This window comes from Homo sapiens, chromosome 18 (assembly GCF_000001405.40).
Source record: "Homo sapiens chromosome 18, GRCh38.p14 Primary Assembly".
Classification (NCBI taxonomy): Eukaryota; Metazoa; Chordata; class Mammalia; order Primates; family Hominidae; genus Homo; species Homo sapiens.
The window spans coordinates 26,129,113-26,151,038 of record NC_000018.10 but is presented as its reverse complement, the minus strand read 5'-3'; the positions used below and the strand labels follow the sequence as shown (position 1 = coordinate 26,151,038).

General features: G+C 37.3%; 1 protein-coding gene across 5 annotated transcripts in view; it reads right to left on the bottom strand.

Annotated features, from left to right (window-relative positions):
- Positions 1–17,170, bottom strand: part of PSMA8 (proteasome 20S subunit alpha 8) — a 59,487-nt gene extending 42,317 nt beyond the window's left edge. For 2 of the 5 annotated variants that reach the window (XM_011525818.2, NM_001308188.2), the window contains exons 1-3: positions 16,972–17,170; positions 10,930–10,994; positions 6,354–6,480 (exon numbers count right to left, since the gene is read on the bottom strand). In XM_011525818.2, coding sequence (XP_011524120.1) covers positions 6,354–6,480; positions 10,930–10,953 — 151 coding nt within the window. In that variant the 5' untranslated portion in view covers positions 10,954–10,994; positions 16,972–17,170. The remainder of the gene's footprint in view (positions 1–6,353; positions 6,481–10,929; positions 10,995–16,971) is intronic. The other 3 variants (NM_144662.3, NM_001025096.2, NM_001025097.2) reach the window with 2 other exon arrangements.
- Positions 17,171–21,926: the final 4,756 nt, after the last annotated feature.

The window sequence follows — 21,926 nt, the reverse complement described above, 5'->3', positions numbered from 1 at the left end:
TGTAATCAGATACTCAGTTAAATGAAGAGAAACTGATTCTCTTTTTCCCTTTGCAAATGTTATCTATGAGAAAGAAATGGCAAGAAACTGATTTAGTCTTTCCTATGGATGAAAACATCACTCAATTTGAAATATGATCAAACAGAATATGTATTTATAGTCTTTCCTATGGATGAAAACGTCACTCAATCTGAAATATGATCAAACAAAGTATGTATTTCCCCTTTACAATGTAAATATCATCCAAGCCTGAGGAAACAAAAGTAACATACTTAGGAAAGTAGTAATATAATTGATTCGAGGAAAAAATAGTGATAAGTTTGTCAAAGTATATGAGCAACATAGTTATGTGTATGTCTGTTTTCAATAAGTAGCAAGATTATTATTAATTGGCTAGCAGAGAACAAATTCTATTTTAACAAATTACAATTAAAATTTACATTTAATGAGTCAGAAGACTTGCTTGAAGCCAGGTGTTTGCGACTAGCCTGAGCAACGCAGAGAGACCCCGGTTTCTACAAAAAAATAAAAAAGCTAGCAGGCCATGCTGGCACATGCCTGTAGTCCTAGCTACTTGGGAGGCTGCGGCGGGGGGATTGCTTGAGCCCAGGAGTTTAAGGCTGCAGTGAGCTATGATCGTGCCACTGTACTCCCACTGGGGGTGACAAAGTGAAAACCTGTCTCTGAAAAAAAAAAAAGGAATCAAATTAAAATTTAAGTTTAAAATTACAATTTCACTTTGCTTAAAAATAAACAATCTACAGAAAAAAATGAGTATTCAGTCAAGTGCTCTGAAATATGTACAGGTTGAGTATCCCTCATCGCTCATCTGAAAATGCTTGGGATCAGAAGTGTTTCAGATGTTTTTCCAGGTTTTGGAATATTTGCGTTATACTTACTGGTTGGGCATCCCTAATCTGAAAATCAAAAATCCAAAAGGCTCCAATGAGCATTTCCTTTGAGCATCATGTTGGTGCTCAAAAATTTTCAGATTTTGGAACATTTTGGATTTTCCAATTGGGTGTGTTCAACCTGTACCACAATTTTATATTGAGGATACAATCATAATGTAAAACTTCTGCTATTAAGTGGAATTCCACATGGTACATGAAATAATTTTTTTGTAGTCCAACTTATTTTTTCACCTGTACTTTTAGTGTCATATTCAAGAAATCATTTCCAAATCTAATCTCATGAAGCTTTCCCACTATGCTTTATATTTTCAGCTCTTATGTTTAGGTCTTTCATTCATTTTGAGTTAATTTTTGTATGTGATGTTAGGTAGAGTCCTACTTCATTCTTTTTATGTGAATATTCAGTTTCCCCTGCACCATTTGTTTAGAAGATTGTCTTTTCCCCTACTGAGTAGTCTTGGCATCCTTGATAAAAGTCATTTGACCATATCATACATGCAAGGATTTATTACTATGTTCTCTATTCAATTCCATTAGTTACATGTCTTTCATTAAGCCAGTCATGAAACTATTTTGCTTACTGTATCTTTGTAGTAGCTTTCAAAAACAAGACATGTGAGACCTCTAAGTTGGCTCTTCTCTTTCAAAATTGTTTTGTCATTCCATATGAATGTCATAATTCTTTTTTATTTAAAAAAATCATTGAAATTTTGTTAGGGATGACATTGAATCTAAATTGCTTTGGATAATATTGACATGTTAATAATCCTGAGTCTTCCAATCCATGAATGCGGGATGTCTTTCCATTTGTGTCTTTTTCAATTTCTTTCAGCAATGTTTTGCATTTTTCAGAGTACAAATCTTTTGCCTCCTTAAATTCATTCCCAATAAGTATTTTATTCTTTTTGATGCTATTGACATGGAATTGTTTTTCTTAATTTCCTTTCCTGACGGTTCATTGTCAGTACATAGAAATGATTTGGGGCTTGGTGTGGTGACTCACACCTTTATTGTAACACTTTGGGAGGCTGAGATGGGAGGATCACTTGAGGCCAAGAGTTTGAGACCAGCCTGGGCAACATAGTGAGATCCTGTCTCTACAAAAATAAAAATTAAAAAAAATTGCCAGGTGCAGTGGCACACACCTGCATTCAGGAGGCTGAGGTGGGAGGGTTGCTTGAGCCCTGGAGTTCAAGGCTGCAGTGAGCTATGGTGATGCCACTGTGCTTCAGGCTGAGTGATAGAGTGAGACCCTGTTTCAAATTAAAAAGAAAAAGAAAGAAATTACTCCGGGGTGTTGATTTTGTGTCCTACAACTTTGCTCAATTTGTTTATTATTTGTAACATTTTTGGTGGAATCTTTAGTATTCTATATAAGATCATGTCTTCTGTGAACAGAGATGATTTTTCTTCCCTCCCAATTTGGATACCTTTATTTATTTTTCTTTCCTAACTGCTCTGGCTAAGACTTTCATTACTATGTTGAATAGCAGCGGCAAAAGTGGGCATCTTTATCTTGTTCCTGGTTCTAGAGGGAAAGCTTTCAATCTTTCACCACTGAGTATGATGTCAGCTGTGAATTTTTTACATAGATAGCCTGAATTATGTTGTGGTGATTTCCTTTTATTTCTAGTTTGTTGGGTGCCATTACCAAGAAAGAGTGTTAAATTTTGTCAAATGCATTTTCTATATAATTTATATAATTATATAGTTTTTTTCTTTCCTTCTGTTAATGTGGTATATTACATTGATTGATCTTCATATGTTGAACCATGCTTGCACTCCAGGGATAGATCCAAATTGGTCATGATGTATTATTATTTTAAAGTTCTGAATTTGGTTTGCTACTAGTTTGTTGAGGATTTTTGCTCACTGCTCATAAGGGATATTTGTCTATAGTTTTCTTTTCTTGTAATGTCTTTGGCTTTGGCATTATGTTAATATTGGTCTTATAGATTAAACTTGGAAGTGTTTACTCCTTAACTTTTTGGAAGAGTTTCAGAAGGACTGCTATTAATTCTTCATTAAAATGTTTGGTAGGATTCACTGGTGAAGTCGTTAGATCCTAGACTTTCCTTTGTTGGGAGGTTTTTAATAACTCATTCAATGTCTTATTGTGTCTGTTCAGATTTTCTATTAATATATCTTATTGAGCAAGGTGTGTTTCAAGGAATTCTGTCTATGTACAATTGTTCACAGTACTCTCTTAAAATTGTTTTTAAGAATTAAAACTGTAAAACTGGCACTAATGTCCCCTTCTTCATTTCTCATTTTACTTGAGTCTTCTCTCTTTTTTTCTTAGTCAATCTAGCTAAAGAGTTGTCAGTTTTGTTGATCTTTTCAAAGAACCAACTCTTGGTTTTGTTATTTTTCTCTTTTGTTTTTCTATTCTGTTATTTATCTATGTTCTGATCTTTATACTTCTTTTTCTCAAATTTAGCACTACAATATTTTATAACAGTAGAAAGCTAAAAACACTACATGCTAACAAACAATATGATATACAATCTAGGGGAAAGAGTCATCAGGGATTTATTACTTCTTTCTACTAGCTTTAAACTTAGTTTATTCTTATTTTCCTAGTTTTAAGGTATAAAGGCAGGCTGTTGAATTGAGATCTTTCTTTTTTAATGTAAATGTTTATGGCTATAAATTTTCCTATTAGCACTACTTTCAATACATTCCCCAAGTTTTGATATGTTGTGCTTTTATTTGCCTTTCTCTCAAGATATCTGTTCATTTCCCTTGTGATTTTTTTCATTGCCCCATGGGTGATTTAGGAATATATTGCTTAACTCCACGTGTTTGTGGATTTTCACGTCTTCCTTCCACTACTAATTTCTAGTTCCATTCCATTTTGATCAGAAAAAAATACTCTGTATGGTTTCAATCTTTTTTTTTTTTTTTTTTTTTTGAGACAGGGTGATATGGTTTGGATCTCTGTACCCACCCAAATCTCATGTATAACTGTAATCCCCAAAGTTGGAGGTGGGGCCTGATATAAGGTGATTGGCTCATGGGGATGGTTTCTCATGACTAGCTTAGCACTATCCCCCAATGCTGTTCTTGTGATAGAGTTCTAACGAGATCTGATTGTTTAAGTGTATTTGGCACCTCTCCCTTCTCTCTCTCTTCTTCCTGCTCTGGCCATGTGAGATGTCTCACTCCCCCTTTGCCTTCTACCATGATTGAAAGCTTACTGAGGCCGCCCAAAAGCAGAAGCTGCTATGCTTCCTGTACAGCCTACGGAACTGTGAACCAATTAAATATCTTTTCTTTATAAGTTACCCAGTCTCAGGTATTTCTGTTTTGTTGTTGTTGTTTTTCAGGTGTTTCTTTATAGCAATGCAAGAATGGACTGATACATAGGGTCTCACTCTGTTGCCTGGACTGGAATGCAGTGGTGTGATCACAGCTCACTGCAGCCTCAACCTGCTGGGTTCAATGGATCTTCCCAGCCCAGCCTCCCAAGTAGCTGGGACTATAGGCACACGCCACCATCCCCAGCTAATTTTTGTATTTTTTTTGAGATGAAGTTTCACCATGTTGCTCAGACAGGCTCGAACTTTTGGGCTCAAATGATCTGCCTGCCTCAGCTTTCCAAGATCTTGGGATTACAGGTATGAGCCACTATGCCTGGATGCTTCAATGTTTTTATATTTATTAAGACTTGTTTTGTGAAAAGATAATTCCTTCTTAAAGACAGCACAATAAAGGCATTTTTGTTTTTCTGAATGAGGTTTTAATTTTTTTATTTTTTAAGAGATAGTATCTTGCTCAGTTGCCCAAGCTGAACTCAAACTTCTAAGCTCAAGTAATTCTCCTGCCTCGACCTCCTGAGTAGGTGCAATTACAGATGTGCACCATCATGTGTGGCTTGAATGAGATTGTTAAACTTCAATATAAAATTACAGTTAAAAAAAAAAAACCCAATCAGAAGATGAGGAAAAAAAAAAAGACAAGAGGCATGTCTTATTTGCTGTATAGGGGCAAATAAGCACATAAAAATAAGTTCAAAATTATTAGCCGTGAGGGAAATAAAAATTAAACTTACAATTAGATATCAGTACACATGTATAAGAATATAAAAAAATGAAGAAAAGCAACAATAGCAAATGCTGATAACACAGAGCAAATGAATCACTCATATATTGCTAGTTGGAATTTAAAATAGTATAACCACTCTGGACTGGCAGTGTTTCATAAAACTAAGCATGGATTATCATATAATCCAGCAACTATACTCTTAGGAATTTGTCCCAGAGAAATGAAATCCTACTTTCACTCAAAAATCTGTAAACAAATATTCATAGAGGCATTATTTACAATAGTCAAAAATTGGAAATAACCCAAATGTCCCTCAATAGGAGAGTTAACAAACCCACTGGTGCCTTTATTCCATGGAATACTACTCAGTAATAAAAAGGAATGGATATATGCAACAACTTGCATGAACTGCAAGGGAATTATGCTGAATAAAAAAGATTAATCTGAAAGGGTTATATATTATATAACTTTATCCATATAACATTCTCAAAATGACAAAATTATAGAGATACAGAATAGATAGCAGTTTCCAGAAAGTAGAGATGGTGAGAAGAAATAGCATGAGGTAGTCTTGTGGTGATGGAAGAGTTATGTATCTTGAGTGTGGTGATGACTACATGAATCTACATATGTGGTTAGTGTAATAAAACTGCACACAGAGGCCGGGCGCGGTGGCTCACACCTGTAATCCCAGCACTTTGGGAGACTGTGGCGGGTGGATCACCCGAGGTCAGGAGTTCAAGACCAGCCTGACCAACATGGAGAAACCCCGTCTCCACTAAAAATACAAAATTAGCCGGGTGTGGTGATGCATGCCTGTAATCCCAGCTACTCGGGAGGCTGAGGCAGGAGAATTGCTTGAACCCGGGAGGTGGAGGTTGCAGTGAGCAGAGATCGCGCCATTGCACTCCAGCCTGGGCAACAAGAGTGAAACTCTGTCTCAAAAATAAAAATAAAAACAAAAACAAAAAACTACATACATGTACATGAACATGCAAGTGAATGCATGTAAAACTGGCAAAATCTGAATACACTCTCAGCAAATGTCAATTTACTGGTTTTGAAGATGTTACCATTTAGGGAAACTGTGTAAAGGGGACTTTCTATGTTTTTGGTAGCTTCTTCTAAATCTGTAATTATTTAAAAATAAAAAGTTTTGAAAAGAAAATAGCTACCTAAATTTTGAAGTAAAGTAATATATATCTTTTAACATTTGTACTTTATCAAAAATCCTGGTTTACAAAGTTAGTATTTGCTTTAAAACGTAGGATATATTGTTTGTAGAACAACTCCACATGTTTTATAAATATAGCACAACTGCAGCACTGAGGTTAACTGTGTTGCCCTACTACAGTAAGACACTATGCATCATTATTGTAGGACCTTAAGTACCTGCAAAAGCCATGCAGACATGGTCATCAAGGGCACAAATTTTCCTCACAGTTCTTTCATCTTGAAGCTTGGCAACAGATTTTTTTTCTACCCCAAGAACAACTATATTGGTACCTCGAATTCCGACCTGTCAAGTCATTAAAATACATATATATTCAGATGTCAGTTTAAAATATAAAACCAAGTTATTCTAACATATGACTTAGGGGAAATGACTTCTCCTTAAGTATTCAATAAAAACAAGAAAAGTAACTTTCTAGAAAACAGCTTCATAGGTATAGGCTTACTGGAGATCCATTCCCCAGACTCAAAGCAAGGAAGACAAATAGGTAGAAATTGCAAAGAAAATACCACCAATGCTGAAATTATGAGTGTCCTAATCTCATACAATACACCTGAAAAAAGCACTATCTAAATACGGTAAGTTCTCAATGTCATTGACAGGTTCTTGAAAATTGCAACTATAAGCAAATGATGTATAATGAAACCAATTTTATCACACCCCAATTAATATAAACAGGAGTTAGGTTCATATGAAATATTTCTGGTCACAAAAACATCCCCAAACTTCTAAACAAATACCTAAAACACCTCTAATATTAAACACTGAAATAAATGTGAGCTGTATATATAACAAACACTAACAAAAACAAGTATGATAAGGCTGGGCACGGTGGCTCACAGCACTATAATCCTAGCACTTTGGGAGGCTGAGGCAGGAGGACGACTTGAGGTCTGGAGTTCGAGACCAGCCTGGCCAACATGGTGAAACCCCGTCTCTACTAAAAACACAAAAATTAGCCGGGCATAGTGGCAGGCACCTGTAGTCCCAGCAACTCAGGAGGCTGAGCCAGGAGAATCGCTGGAACCCAGGAAGCAGAGCTTGCAGTAAGCAGAGATTGCGCCACTGCACTCCAGCCTGGGCAACAGAGCGAGACTCAAGCTCAAAAAAAAAAGAAAGTATGATAATTATTTATCCAATTTTTGGTGAATCCATGAGTGACAGCAGTCATAGTGGTGGTGGGTTAAATCAAAGAATAAACGTTTGCAAAGCAAAAATTTTAAAGAGCATCTCCTACCACCATTCAGTTCAAAAACAAACAATAAGGTCTACGACAAGCTCACTAAGTGCTTTCATACCTCGTTGTTTACTGTTGTGCATCTGTATGATTATTATATACTTTATAAATTTTTATTTTATAATAATTTGTATTCATTCATTCATTTTCCAATCTGCCTATCCAAGTTCAGGATCACAGGTGGCTGCAGCCTATTGCAGCAGTTCAGGGTACAAGGCAGGAACCAACCATGGACAGGATGCCATTCCATCATAGGCTTTGCTCATACACACACACACTCACTCAGATTGGGACAATTTAGACACATCAATTAACCTAACGCACACATCTTTGGGATGTTGGAGGAAATTGGAGTACATGGAGAAAACCCATGCAGACACGGGGAAAACTAACAAACTCCATATAGAGTGGCCTTCGGTGGGAATCGATTTTTTTTCTCATCAATGTTATAACAAAAGAATGTTGAACAAAACAATGTTATTTGAGAATCTGCTATATAGTGCAAAATTAAGCAAAATGAAAGAAGATGCCGGGAATCCATGTGGATTCTTTATAAAGGCGGCAGTACTAGTGCTGGTAGTATTAATGGCAGTAAAGAAAGTTAAATAGATAAAATTCTGTAAAAGTTTTCCCATGTATTTCACAATTTGGAGGGATAGGGATTGAGTTGCTGTGGTTTGAATATTTATATTCCCCCCAAATTCGTATGTTGAAATCCTAACCCCTAAGGTGATACTATCAGGAGGTAGGGCCTTTGAGAGGTGATTAGGTCATGATGGTTGACTGGGATTCGTGCCCTTATTAAAGAGGCCTAAGAGAGCTTGTTTGCGCTTTCCACCATGTGAGGACACAGCAAGAAAGTTCTAACTATGAACTAGGAAATGGGTACTCTCCAGACACTGAATAGGCCTTGATCTTGGATTTCCCAGTCTTTAGAATTGTGAGAAATAAATTTCTGTTGTTTATAAAGTGCCCTGTCTATTGTCTTTTGTTTTAGCAGCTCAAATAATCTAAGTTAAGACAGGGGCCACAAGCAGCCAAGAGAAAGACCAAATGTCCTTATCCTACATTACTGATAAAGAAAGCCTCTATTCAAACAAGAAGAATACAAGTAGGGTGACTATTGCTCCTTTTTCTCTCCTCTTTTTTAGAGGAAAGTTTAGAATTTTGGTTCTGTATTACAGGGGTAATCTAAAAATTTTGACATAGGTATTGGTGTTTATAATTGCTTTGTAGTCAAGTGTGATATTAATACTGATTTATACAATATCACTGTATAAAAATATGTGTTATAAAGTAGCATTATTGGGGAGGCCGAGGTGGGTGGATCACGAGGTCAGGAGATAGAGACCATCCTGGCTAACACGGTGAAACCCCATCTCTACTAAAAATACAAAAAATCAGCCGGGCGTGGTGGCGGGCGCCTGTAGTCCCAGCTGCTGGGGAGGCTGAGGTAGGAGAATGGCGTGAACCTGGGAGGAGGAGTTTGCAGTGAGCCAAGATCGTGCCACTGCACTCCAGCCCAGGCGACAGAGAGAGACTCCATCTCAAAAAAAAAAAAAAAAAAAATTAGCATTATTGAAGTGAAAATACACAATAGATGAAATGTAGAACTAGGCCTGGCTGAGCATGGTGGCTCATGCCTGTAATCCCAGCATTTTGGAAGGCTGAGGTGGGAGGATTACTTGATTCCAAGAGTTTCAGACTAGCCTGGGCAACATAGTGGGATTATATCTCTACAAAATATAAAAAAATTAGCCGAGCATGGTGTGTGCACCTGTAGTTCCAGCTACTCAGGAGGCTGAGGTGGGAGAATCGCTTGAGCCTGGGAGTTCAAGGCAGTGAACCATGATCATGCCACTGCCTCTTTCTCAAAAAAAAAAAAAAAAAAAAGAAAAAAGAAAGAAACAGAAAAAAGAAAAAAAAGAACTACGCTTTTGTTCTTATTGTTCTTTCATTTCTTATCAGTTTATCCAAGTACCCTTTCTTAAACATTATATTTCAGATCAGCCATCCTCCCTCCCTATCCTATCCTCATCAAATGAACAAATGTTAAACTTTATAGGGAATATGCCTTCTCAACAAGCCATGGGATATTGTAACAATTTAACATATATTAGGACTAAAAGAAAAATCTCAAAATATTCTCACAATTGAAATAAATCAAGTTAAATTTATTGGTCACAAGACAACAATTTATAACTCTCATAAATAATTTTTGACTTAGTAAAGAAATTAAAAGTACCAATATAGACTAGAAAATGTTGATAATGAATATGTTAATATCAAAGTATTTTGAGTGTGGTCAAAATTATGTTCAGGAGAGAATTTATCATTTTATTTTTTTAATCAAGTAAGAAAAAATATTAAAAATGAATTAAGAAATCAGTAGGTACAAAAAGGGATAAAAATATTGCAGCTAAGCTTAAGGGGAAAAATAAGAAAAAAGCAAAAATTAATGGTTAGGGAGAAAACAACAAAACTGATAAATAATACCAAGATTTGGTTATTTTAAACAAATAATTAAAATGTATATCTCAGTTAATCTCATTAGGAAAGGGATAGAGTGAAAGAAATACATACAAGTGTGGAAAAGTAACAATTTTAAAAGTATAACCTTAAGTTAATAAATTTGAAAATCTGATTGAAAGATATTACGGAGTAGAAAAATTTAAAACTGGCCATGTTGATTCAAGAAAAGACAAAAAACTCTGTTTCACTAACAAACATGCAATAATTTCAGAAAAGAACTAATCCTCAAAAACAAGTGTCAGACCTAGAGGGTTCATGGATGAATTCTTGCTAATTTTGTTATGAGTAATTCCTGTGCTATTTAAATTATTCTATGATGCAGATGAAAGCGGGTATGTTCCTAACTCTTTAGTAAAATTATGTAATGATGTTAAAGTCTGGCAAATATAACATTTTCTAAATAAATAAAAGTACCAATAATTCCTCATTTATGAAAGCTGATGCCAAAATCTCAAAACAATATGACATCAGCAAGATGGCAGAATAGGAGTTTCCCATGCCCATGTCCCAGCAGAAATACCAATTTGTACTACTATGTGTGAAAATACTTCCTAAGAAAAGAATCCAGGTGAGAGACCAAAGCACAGAAATACGAAAAGACACTTTGAAGAGAGTGAGAAAGACAATTTGACATTATCCACATCACCTGTCCTTCAAGGCCCAGCAACACAGTGCAGAGAGAGATACCATCCATGTGTGGTAAGGAGAGTAACGTGGGTATCTGACTTTTCCATGGACCCCATGGATCCAAGCTCCAGGTCTGCTCCTGTGGACTCAGGTTCCAGGCCCACCCCAGTGAGCCCTGGTACAAGGCTGGCACCTGTGGTGCCAAGCCAGCCTGCCTGCTGACCTAGGCATCACGCCAGCCTGCCAAAGGACTCTAGTGGCAGGCCCACCCCAAATCTCTGGATGGGCTAACTGGTGAAGAACTTTTCCTGCTGAAGCTAATCTGAAGAGGTACTTACTTTTTCAAATGTGCAGACATCCATGCCAGGCCACAAGAATCGTGAACAATCAGAGAAACATGATACTACCAAAGGAAGAAAATAAAGTATGGAGATCTATGAATTTCTTGACAAAGAATTAAAAAGTAACAATCTTTTAAAAGCTCAGTAAGCTACAAGAGTACAGAGATAAACAAGCGAGATCAGGAAAACACTATGCGAACAAATTGAGAAGTTCAACGAACAGACAGAAACCTATGTTAGTCTCTTTTATCTTAATTTTAAGACCATTCCACTTTAATCCCACCTTTTTTCTTTCAAGCCCTTCAAGTCAAATATTGTCATCATCCCTCAGCCCACAACAACCTGGTTTCTATCCCTCTTCTCTCAGAGTTTAGTCAAGGTAATTACAAAGGTCATTAAGGTTCCTCAAGGTTCAGTTGTAGACTATCCTCGGCTTAGTCTATAGTCTATATTTAGTCTTATTGAACACAGAAGGGTACTCAAGAGTATGCATTTACTTGACCTTCAATATAGGTTTTTAACAGGGGAGAGAAACAATGCACTTCAAAATTATTATTTCCAGCCAAAATCAATCTCTTAAATTTCAAACATGTACTTTTCAGCTGCCTCACAGTCTCTGTTCAGGAATCGGGACACAGTTTAGCTAATTCCTCTGGCTCAGGGTCTCTCATAAGGCTGCAATCAAGTTGTCTACCAGTGCTGCATGCATCTCTAGGCTCAACTGGGGAAGGATCCATTTCCAAGCTCACTCGCATTGTTGTTGGCAAGATTCAGTTCCCCTGGGTTGTTGGACTAAGGATCTCAGTTCCCTACTAGATTTTGAACAAATGTTTCCCTCAGTTCCTTGCCTCATTGGGCCCTGCAGAGGGCAACTCAACACGGCAGCTGGGTTTCACCAGAGTAAGCAAGCAAAACAGCGAGTAAGGATGAATAAAATGAAGTCACCATTTCTTTGCAACCTAATCCCTGATGTGACATTCGTCATTTTCACCTATTCCATTCCTTAAAAGCAAGTCACTAAGTTCAGCCCACATCCAAGGGAGGAAGGTTATACAAGGGCATGACCACCACAAGGTGGGGATCACTGGAGGCCATTTTAAAGTCTGTCTGCTACAGTTTCCATAAGCATCTCAACCTCAGCAAGTCCAAAACAGTTATCTTCCCCCAAAACTTAGTGCTTACATTCTCTAAGTAAATGGCAGTACCATTTACTTAGCAGGCACATCCAGAAACAGGGACACCAACTTTTATTCCTCCTTCTTCTATACCTCTGTCAACACCATCCATATAACCATCAAATTGTAACAAGTATACTGCTTAATGTTTTTCTGGAATCCACCTTATTTTTACTTTCCCCCCAAGTCTAGTAAAAGCTAGTTATCATCTTTCATCTAGACTATTTCCACAGAATACTAACTGGTCTCCCTGTTTCTAGTCTTGATTTCATCCAATTCACTGACCATAGGTAGCCTGAGAAATATTTGGAAAATAAAATGAAGACCAAAAAAGAAGAAGAAGAAAATAAAGTCTGAATGTGGCATTCCTTTACTTAAAGCTTATAAAGGGACCATCTGTCACTAAGCAAATCAACACAGCACAGAGCTAGACATGAGACAAAAGGATCTAGGGACTTTAATATGTACTCTTTGCATATTGGCTTTTCACTTTCCTAATGTGGAAAGGCTTTCTCTGTACAGTAAAAACATGGCCACCAGGAACCTTGGACCCACATCCCAACAGTTCTCCCAGAGAATAAAAGCTACCTCTGTCTCTAGTCAGAAGAGTTGCTAAGGGTGAACTTATCATTGGCTAGATTTGAGTGACATGCTCATCACTGTGGCCAGGAAGATAGAAATTATGAATGATTCTACTTAGGTCATGTGAGTATCTCTGTTGTTGGACAAATGTAGTCTGTTAATAGAATGACAGAAGAGCAATAATCTGGAGACTGACAGTAGCCACATCAAAACACTTCAAGGTCTCTCATTCAGTATATCCTCACTTACATGGTTTAATGGCATTCCATGATCTGGCACCAGTTTCTAGCTTCATCTATTTCTATTTTTCCATTGCTTCAACAATTCTGAATGCCTTTCAGTTGACAGAACATAGCTGTCCTTTTCTACTTGCCTTCCCACAAGCTATTTCCTTTGTCAAAAATACTCTTCACTCTTTCCCCTTCCACTTCTTCACTTGACAGCCCCTCATCTTTCAGATGTCCACTTAAGTATTATTTCTTCAGAGGGACCTCCCCAACACCTGGGGTTCCTATAGTGCCTCATACTCTAATACTCATTCGGGTTTTCTTAGGACTATTTATGTAATTATCTAACTTTCCTGATAGATAGTAGGATCTCTAAGGACAGGGATCGAATCTATTTTGTATGTGATGCTATCTATCTTGTATGTGACCTAGCATCATGTTTAGCATATGTAAGTATTCAACAAAAATGTCTTGAAATAATAAATGAATGTGTGAGAAGCACCACAGACAAAATTTAAAAAAAAGAGAAAACAAAGAATAGTAAATAATAACTACAATTTGTTAAGTACTTTCTGTGAACTAGATTCTGTTTAAGATGCTTCACATGCATTATTACCTCATTCAACTTTCACATCAACTCTCTGAAGCAAGTGCAATTTTTTTTTGAGACAGATTCTCACTCTGTCACTCAGGCTGGAGTACACTGGTGCAATCTCAGCTCATGCAACCTCTGCTTCCTCGGTTCAAGCAATTCTCCTGCCTCAGTCTCCCAAGTAGCTGGGAATACAGGCACACACCACCATGCTCAGCTAATTTTTTGTATTTTTAGTAGAGATGGGGCATCACCATGTTGGCCAGGCTGGTCTCAAACTCCTGACCTCCAGTGATCCACTCACCTCAGCCTCCCAAAGTGCTAGCATTACAGGCATCAGCCACCACGCCCAGCCACAAGTGCTATTTTGATGCCTCTTTTACTATTACAGAAACTGAAGCTTAGTGAAGTTAATTGCCTTAAGTGATACATATCTGATTTCTACATTCATGATAATGGAAGCTAATTAATATACAAACATTTATTGAACAAATTTCATGCTACAATGCAAGGAGCAGGGGCTTTAGAACTAGAAAAAAATAATTATAAATATGGGTTCCATCACTCTCCAGCTGGGTACTTTCAGCAAGCTATAAATGCTTCTGAATCACAGTTTCACACATAATAAAAGGGGATTAAACACTGTCCCTAATGTTAGATAATATACACAAAATGCCTGGTTAAAGTATTTCTTAAATGTTAGTTACTGCCTTCCTAGCCCCTCTACTGTATATTGTGCAGTAGAAATAGAAAAATGAATTATACCATCTAGATCCTCAGAGATCTTACTATCCAGTTGGTGTGAGATTATTAAATATACCTGAAATTAAAGAAAATATCAGGTCAAATAGTAAATACTGTACAATATTCTGTGGTACAGATTATAAATTCAGAAAAGACAAAGATCCAAGATGACTGGAGTGGATCAGAGAAGGCTTCATTATAGAGGACAAGTGTGCAGAGATTGTTAAAGGATAAATAAGATGCAGAGCAGCAGAAAGAAAGGTGTTTTCCCCTTTCCTCTCTCCCCTTTCTGTAGGCAGAAACACATATTAGTGAAACCAAGAAGCTGCCTCCTAAATTAAGAGGGTGGATAGGATTATGGAAGACTTTGATGGCTACATTGTGGAGCTGAGATTTGATAAAGTAGGAAATACAGAGCTAATAACAGTTTGGGGTCACAGAAAGGACAAAATGAGGAATGATAATAAATCTTATCGTTTTCATGGGAATATTGTGAAGGATTCATTTCTTTTCCCTAAGAAGAAAGGTATTACTTCTCCAAAATGTTATTTAAACAAATTTGCATTTACAGAAAAGGGAACTGAAGCAAAAAGAAAACAAGCCTCTTGTCTCCTTTCATGCTATAAGATAATCATCAACAAGGAAGTAGAACACAAAGCCTTTAATTGTGGCCCATATAATTTTTATATTACTAAATAGTATCACATCTACATACTGGTCAAAACTGGTCAACCTTGGCTTATTTGTAACTCATAATATCAATTTTCACTTCTAGACAGAATATTTTGTGACATATTTTAATAATCAAGTGCCATTAAAAAACTTTACCCTATGTAAAAGGTCACAGCACCCTCAAGGAAACACAATGAATAACTCCATGCAAACATGCAAATTATAATTTCAGAATTCTGAGACAAAAGTGTCTCATTCTTCCAATGTATCTTTAAAAATGCCCACTATAGGTATTTTTATATCCTTACCCTTTTACCGCTTATTACAAAGGAACCATCAATCAGTTCTACAGCACTCTTAAAACATGTTAAATGAGCCAATGTGGTTTCTTATTACACCCTAGTCTTCTCCTATTACTCCCTTTATTTTAGGCTCTAAAACTTGGCCATTAGTTTCTAACCATATGCTACATGCTATGCTGGGGATTATATAACTTTTTGTTTTTATCAAAATGGTACCCTTTTGGTTTAAGCTACATCAGGCTTTCCTTAAATTTATAATTCTAAAAAAATTACTTGCAAAACAGAAGCAAAACTAGTGGGCCCAATTAAATAGAAAAATACTTTTAAAACGATTCTTCTTCTAGTGTTTTTTTTTTACCACTTACATCTGTTAGATTTATAATGAAAGTGAATTATTTCCTTCTTTAACAAAGAAAGTCAGAAAATATAGACACTGCTAGACTTAGAAACGTACTGTGTATTCTCATAGCTACTGTCTCAATTTCCAAAGTACACAACAAACATGCTCATGAAATTGAGAGAATAAAAATATCCGATCCTTTGAATTCATAGGCTAGGCCTTAGAAGATTTGGGGTAATAGATCTTGTGTCACTAGGGCACTTTTGTCCTCTTTAATTTTTATAAATCACTAAAATTATTGAACGTAGTTAAAACTTGGCAGCAGTATTACTCCTACCCTGAGTATTTTTTAAGTTTTTCAGTAATGTGGATACATAAATCTAAGGTAGGGTGTAATCTCTCAAGGAACTTCCAGCATTATTTTTTAAGTGGCCAAAAAAGTGGAAGTTCTTGGACTTTTGAGCCTCTACAAGGCTGGGAAATATTGGGACAATTTTGGGATTTTTTTTTTTTTTCCCGAGACGGAGTTTCGCTTTTGTTGCCCAGGCTGGAGTGCAATGGCACGATCTCGGCTCACCGCAACCTCTGCCTCCCAGGTTCAAGCGATTCTCCCGCCTCAGCCTCCCGAGTAGCTGGGATTACAGGCATGCGCCACCACGCCTGGCTAATTTTGTATTTTTAGTAGAGACGGAGTTTCTCCATGTTGGTCAGGCTGGTCTCAAACTCCCGACCTCAGGTGATCCGCCCTCCTGGGCCTTCCAAAGTGCTGGGATTACAGGTGTGAGCCACTGCGCCCAGCAATTTTGGGATATTTTTAACGCGTGTGTTTGAACTGTGTTTTTAATCATTTCTTCATCAACAAAAGTTTAATTTTATATTGATTTAGTCCGTATTTGGGGAGCAGGTGTGGCCAACTTTTATTTTTTATTGTAACTGTTATTAAAAAACAGTTCCCAACATGAAGCAACTGTTAACTTTTCCAGGGGTCTCTGAACTACCAAGGAACTGGACCACGAGCGTTCAATAGGTAGGCTGTTACAGATTAGAAGCTTTCCCTATTGTCAATCACATCATTAACGTCCCTACACACACACACACACACACAGAGACACACACACACACACACACACACCCACACACACACCCTAGTTTTGCGTCTGTAGCTACCATGAAACAGAGGCAGTTGAACAGCAGAGATAGGGGAAATCTACTAACTTTTACTCTGCCCACTTCCGGCCCAAATCTAGAAGTCTGTCTCCCTAAATAAAAAGAACAAAGTAATTTTCACAAGTGTGGGAATCTCCTCTCTTGAGCTCCTAGGATGGAAAGGTGGGCTGGGGCAGCAGGGTAACGATGGCCTGACAGGTCAGAGCGGGGAATAGTCCGGTAATAGTTGCTTCCTCACCGCGGTGGATCCTTTCTTCACCGCTTCCTGGGCATATTCAACTTGAAAAAGGTGTCCGTCTGGGGAGAAGACAGTGATCGCCCTGTCATATCGAGACGCCATCGCACAGGACTACAAGGGCTTGCCACCGAGCTTCCCGCTGCTGCAGCTGAGGCAAGCGGGGAGCCGCCGCCAACACAGCGTGCTACCGCCCGGAAGCGCTTCCACACGCGCCTCAAGCTGCCTCCCGGAAGTCCCCGCGCCCGCGCTTCGGCTGCTTCACGGAAGTCCTTGCTCCTTTGGCTGCCTGCGGATGTCCTCGCGCTTGCCAGCCTTTGTCACCCAAGCAGTGCCTGTGAGTTGACGGCATTCTTCCCTTACCCTTCATGTCTGACGCATAGCGCATATCTCCATTTCCCCACTACCGTGTTGCCCCAGGGATGGTGTCACGGCACTCGAGTTATAAAAATAATATCAAAGATTAGGGCTTAAAAATGAGGTCTTCAAATATCAGATATTTTTGTTATCGCATACATGTTGGAGAAACTGTGGTAAGTTAAATATCAGTCCCTTCCCTTTGGTTTCAAATTCTAAATTTCCTACTTTTTCTTTCTCTCTCTCAGGTTAACTCTTGTTATTTGAACCGAAGGAAAGAAAGCAAACTTCAAAATATTGTTGCTTCTGATATTTTCTGCCTTGTGAGCAAAATAGAGCAGATGAGCAAATGGTCCGTTAAATAAAGCAAATAGTCCATCAAACTAAGCTAATGATGAGAATTAAGATAATGTTCTTTTTTTTGTTTTGTTTTGTTTTTTGTTTTTTGAGACGGAGTCTCGCTCTGTCGCCCAGGCTGGAGTGCAGTGGTGCAATCTCGGCTCACTGCAAGCTCCACCTCCCGGGTTCACGCCATTCTCCTGCCTCAGCCTCCGGAGCAGCTGGGACTACAGGCGCCCGCCACCACGCCCGGCTAATTTTTTATATTTTTAGTAGAGACTGGGTTTCACCGTGTTAGCCAGGATGGTCTTGATCTCCTGACCTCGTGATCCGCCTGCCTCGGCCTCCCAAAGTGCTGGGATTACAGGCGTGAGCCACCGCGCCCGGCCCAGATAATATTCTTTTAATTGGAGAAATTTTGTAAAAGCCCAAAGTATGAGACTTAAAAGATGTCTGGAAATTTAGCTATAGCAGAAACTCTTTACAACTTGCTACATTACTAACTATGAAACAACTCTGTCGCTTTCTCCTTATCAATAAAATGGGAATATTAAAAAATCTGCAGCAGAGTATTCTGAGCTTAATATGTGTTTATGGGCATAATTACATAAAATGGTGCCTGGTGGGCAGTAATAGCCAGGTAAGTTTAGCTATTATTGCTTTCCATGTGTTGTTTAATATATGCAGTTTTCCACTGGGGAGGATCTTAAAGTTGGTGAAATCAACTTTAACCAAAAAAAAGAAAAAAAGAATAATTTCCTCAAAAGAGGAAAAATTTGATTCCCTGAATTCCAAATACTTAAATCAGAATTTTAATTGACTTAAACAATTTATTTAATTATTAATACTTTTTTTTTTAACGTAGGGACTTGGTTTCCCTATGTTGCCCAGGCTGGTCTCAAACTCCTGGTCTCAAGCAATCCTCCTGCCTTGGCATCCGAAAGTACTGCGATTACAGGTGTGAGCCACCACACCTGGCCTTTAGTTGACTCTTGAAGCAGTTTGTACTTATTGCCCCTCCATTGCTTTTCTTCAGTATTACAGTCTTGACAAGTTTGGTTTGACTGCAAAAAACCAGTAATTCCTAATGAAAACAATTCACTCTAACTGGTTACTTTACATTATTATGATAAACCAACATTTGTCCAAAGTGGTTTCTTGAGAAGTGTTTTGGTGTACTCGTTAAATTATGTTTCCTTTTTATTTTGAAATAGTTATAGATTGACAGGAAGTTTCAAATACGGTAAGAAGAGGTCTCCTATATCCTTCACCCCATTTCCTCCAATGGTAATATTTTATGTACGTATAATATGGTAACAAAACCAGGAAACTGACATTGGTGTAATGCACAGAGTTTTTTCAGATTTTGCCAGTTTTATATACACACCTGTGTGTATGTGGCGGGGAGGCCTATGCAATTTATCATGTATAGATTGGTATAATGACTATCATAATCAAGATACAGAGCTGTTTCACAACCACAAAGATCTGTGGCGTTGACTTGCAAGACATACCCATCTCTCTCTCCCTCTACCATCCCTGGCAACTACTAATCTGTTGTCCATCTCTATAATTTTGCCATTTCAAAAATTTTACATAAATGGAATCATACCTGATGTAAGTTTTTAGTGACTTTTTATTTTCTAAATAATTATAGACTCACAGAAATTTGACAGGACAGTACAGAATGGCCCCTCATACCCTACACTTAGTTTCTGCAATTTGTTACATCTGATACAGTAAAAAACCAGGAAACTGACTTTGGTATAGAGCATGTTTATACCATTAGAAGGCGTTTTGTAAATGTCACACTGTATGATAGTATACACTTCAGAAATATGATAGCGTTAAAATGTTGACAAAGTTTAATTAACACATTCAGATTTAACATCCTCACTAAAATATAACAACAGCTGTGTACCTTTGGGTAGGTATATTTCACTTCACTAAAACTCAGTTTTCTGACCTGCAAAATGGTGATAATACTTATCTTCACAAGATTGTAGTGAAGAACAAATGAAATAGTCCATTAATGCACCCATGGCTGTGCCTGACACAGAGTAACGACTTAAAAAAATGTTAACTATTGTTATTTATCATTAAGTTCATGAAAAAGTAAAGATTACTCTGTAAGAGAGAAATTAGGAAAAGTAAAAATGTAGCATGAACTCATTTATACTTTTAAAAATGTGTATTTTTAAAAATATGTGTATCCAAATGTATAAAGAGTGAAAGTACTTACCCCAAATTTATAAAAGTGCATTTCTTTGCAGGAGGCCAGGAATTAGAAAATGGGACGACATGGTAGGGACAGAGAAGTTACCATTTTAAACTTTGTATCTGTATTATTTTAATTTTTTTTTACCACAAGCATTGTTTATTTTTATAGTTAACAAAAACCATAAGAAACAGTTTAATGCCTAGAAGCTGCAAGCGATTGCAGTTTTGATAGTTTGGACCAAATCTCCCATTGAAAACAACTAGAAATACTTGTCTAAGATATATTTTTTAAATGTATATGCTGACTGTAAAGAACTAACAAGGAATGAGGGTTTGTGGTGCCAAGATAAAGAAAAGTAGGAAAACCCGGAAGGTTAAGTGAGGAGTAAAGCAGACCTTTCATAGACCTTTGGAATTCAAAGCCTATTATGGTATAGGGGTGATGGTAAATGTCTAAGTTTTTGTTTAGAACCCAAAGAGCCACAGCCCAGAAGTAGGATTGAACCAAAAATAGATCTATTCTACACTTGGCTGTGGTCTCTGCACAGATCAGCCTCTACTCACTTATGCACCTTGCTCTGCTTCTTCTCTGACCACGTGTGACAAACCCAGTATGGCTGAGATTGATAAATTCAGTAAGTAAAAATTGAAGAGAACAAAAACAAGACTAAAATCCACTGCCTTCCAAAGAAATGATTATACAGGAGAGACAATTATGCAAATAGTAATGAGGACTGTGCTGCCAATATACGCTACATCCCACAAGCATTGCCTTCTTATTTTACTCCTTTTAGCTGTTTTATTTTATAAGATGCAGAGAAGTGGGATTGAGTTTAAATGACTGTGCTACTACTCTTCACATCAAAGAATCAAGAACTATTGAAAACAAAGTCTATACCTGCCTCTCCTATCTGCCTGTCTGACTGGCAGGGAGCAAAATGAACTTCCTTCAGTATTGGTGAAGGAAGAAGCAGGGTGGGATGATGTTGAAATCTAGAGTAAAAACTGTCCAAGGTGTCCTGTAATGCTGAAAAATGCAGTTTAATCAGAGTGCCTTTAAAAAATGATTTTAGTTATTGGTATACACAATTTCTTAAATAAAATTTAGCCTCTTCGAAAAAAAAAATAGACCTATTCTCATGGGGACTAATAATACCCAGTTTTAAATAATCTCAATCCATAATTGGAATAAAGCCGTAGTTTTCAAACTGTGGCCCACACATTTTTGGAGGTACTCAAAAACCTTTCAAGGGATTGACAATGACAAAACTATAGTAAAAATATTAAGACGGTACTTGCCCTTTTCACTGTGCGGATATTTGCATTGACAGTGCAAAAGCAATGATGGGTAAAGCTACTGAAACCTTAATATAACTCAAGGCAGTAGCATTAAACTTATTCTATGGGTTCAGTATTCCTTATCCAAAATGCTTGGGACCAGAAATGTTTCAGATTTTGGATTTTTTACATATTTTGGAATAATTGTATATACATAATGAAATATATTGGGAATAAGACCCAAGTTTAAACACAAAATTCATTTTTTATTATGCTTTATAAACATAGCTTGAAGGTAATTTTATAAAATATTTTAAAATAATTTTGTGCATAAAACAAATGTTGTGTATATTGAGCCATAAGAAAGCAAAGATGTCATTATTTCAGACTGGACAATCTGGTTGTTTGACACCCCCAGCATTCCTGACTGAATTTATATGCTACTGATGAGCAATCATTTTCTTACACGTATTCACATAAAAGTAATTAACAATAAACAATATGACATACCATTAATACAGTGAAAAAATAATGCTTTCAGGGCAATGAATCAGCACAGTATCATTACCAGAATGCCCATTAGTTGTCAAACAACAGCAACAACAAACAACAACAGGCTTTCAATCTCCACCTGCTATGCTCTGATTTGACTGAAAGGTTACAGTGCACTATAATTTTTTTTTTTTAAGTGAGAAGAAACGTCAGAAGCAGTTCAGGGACCAGGAAGTGGGTCCTCTAGGAATAAGGAGGCATTCTGCTGGATG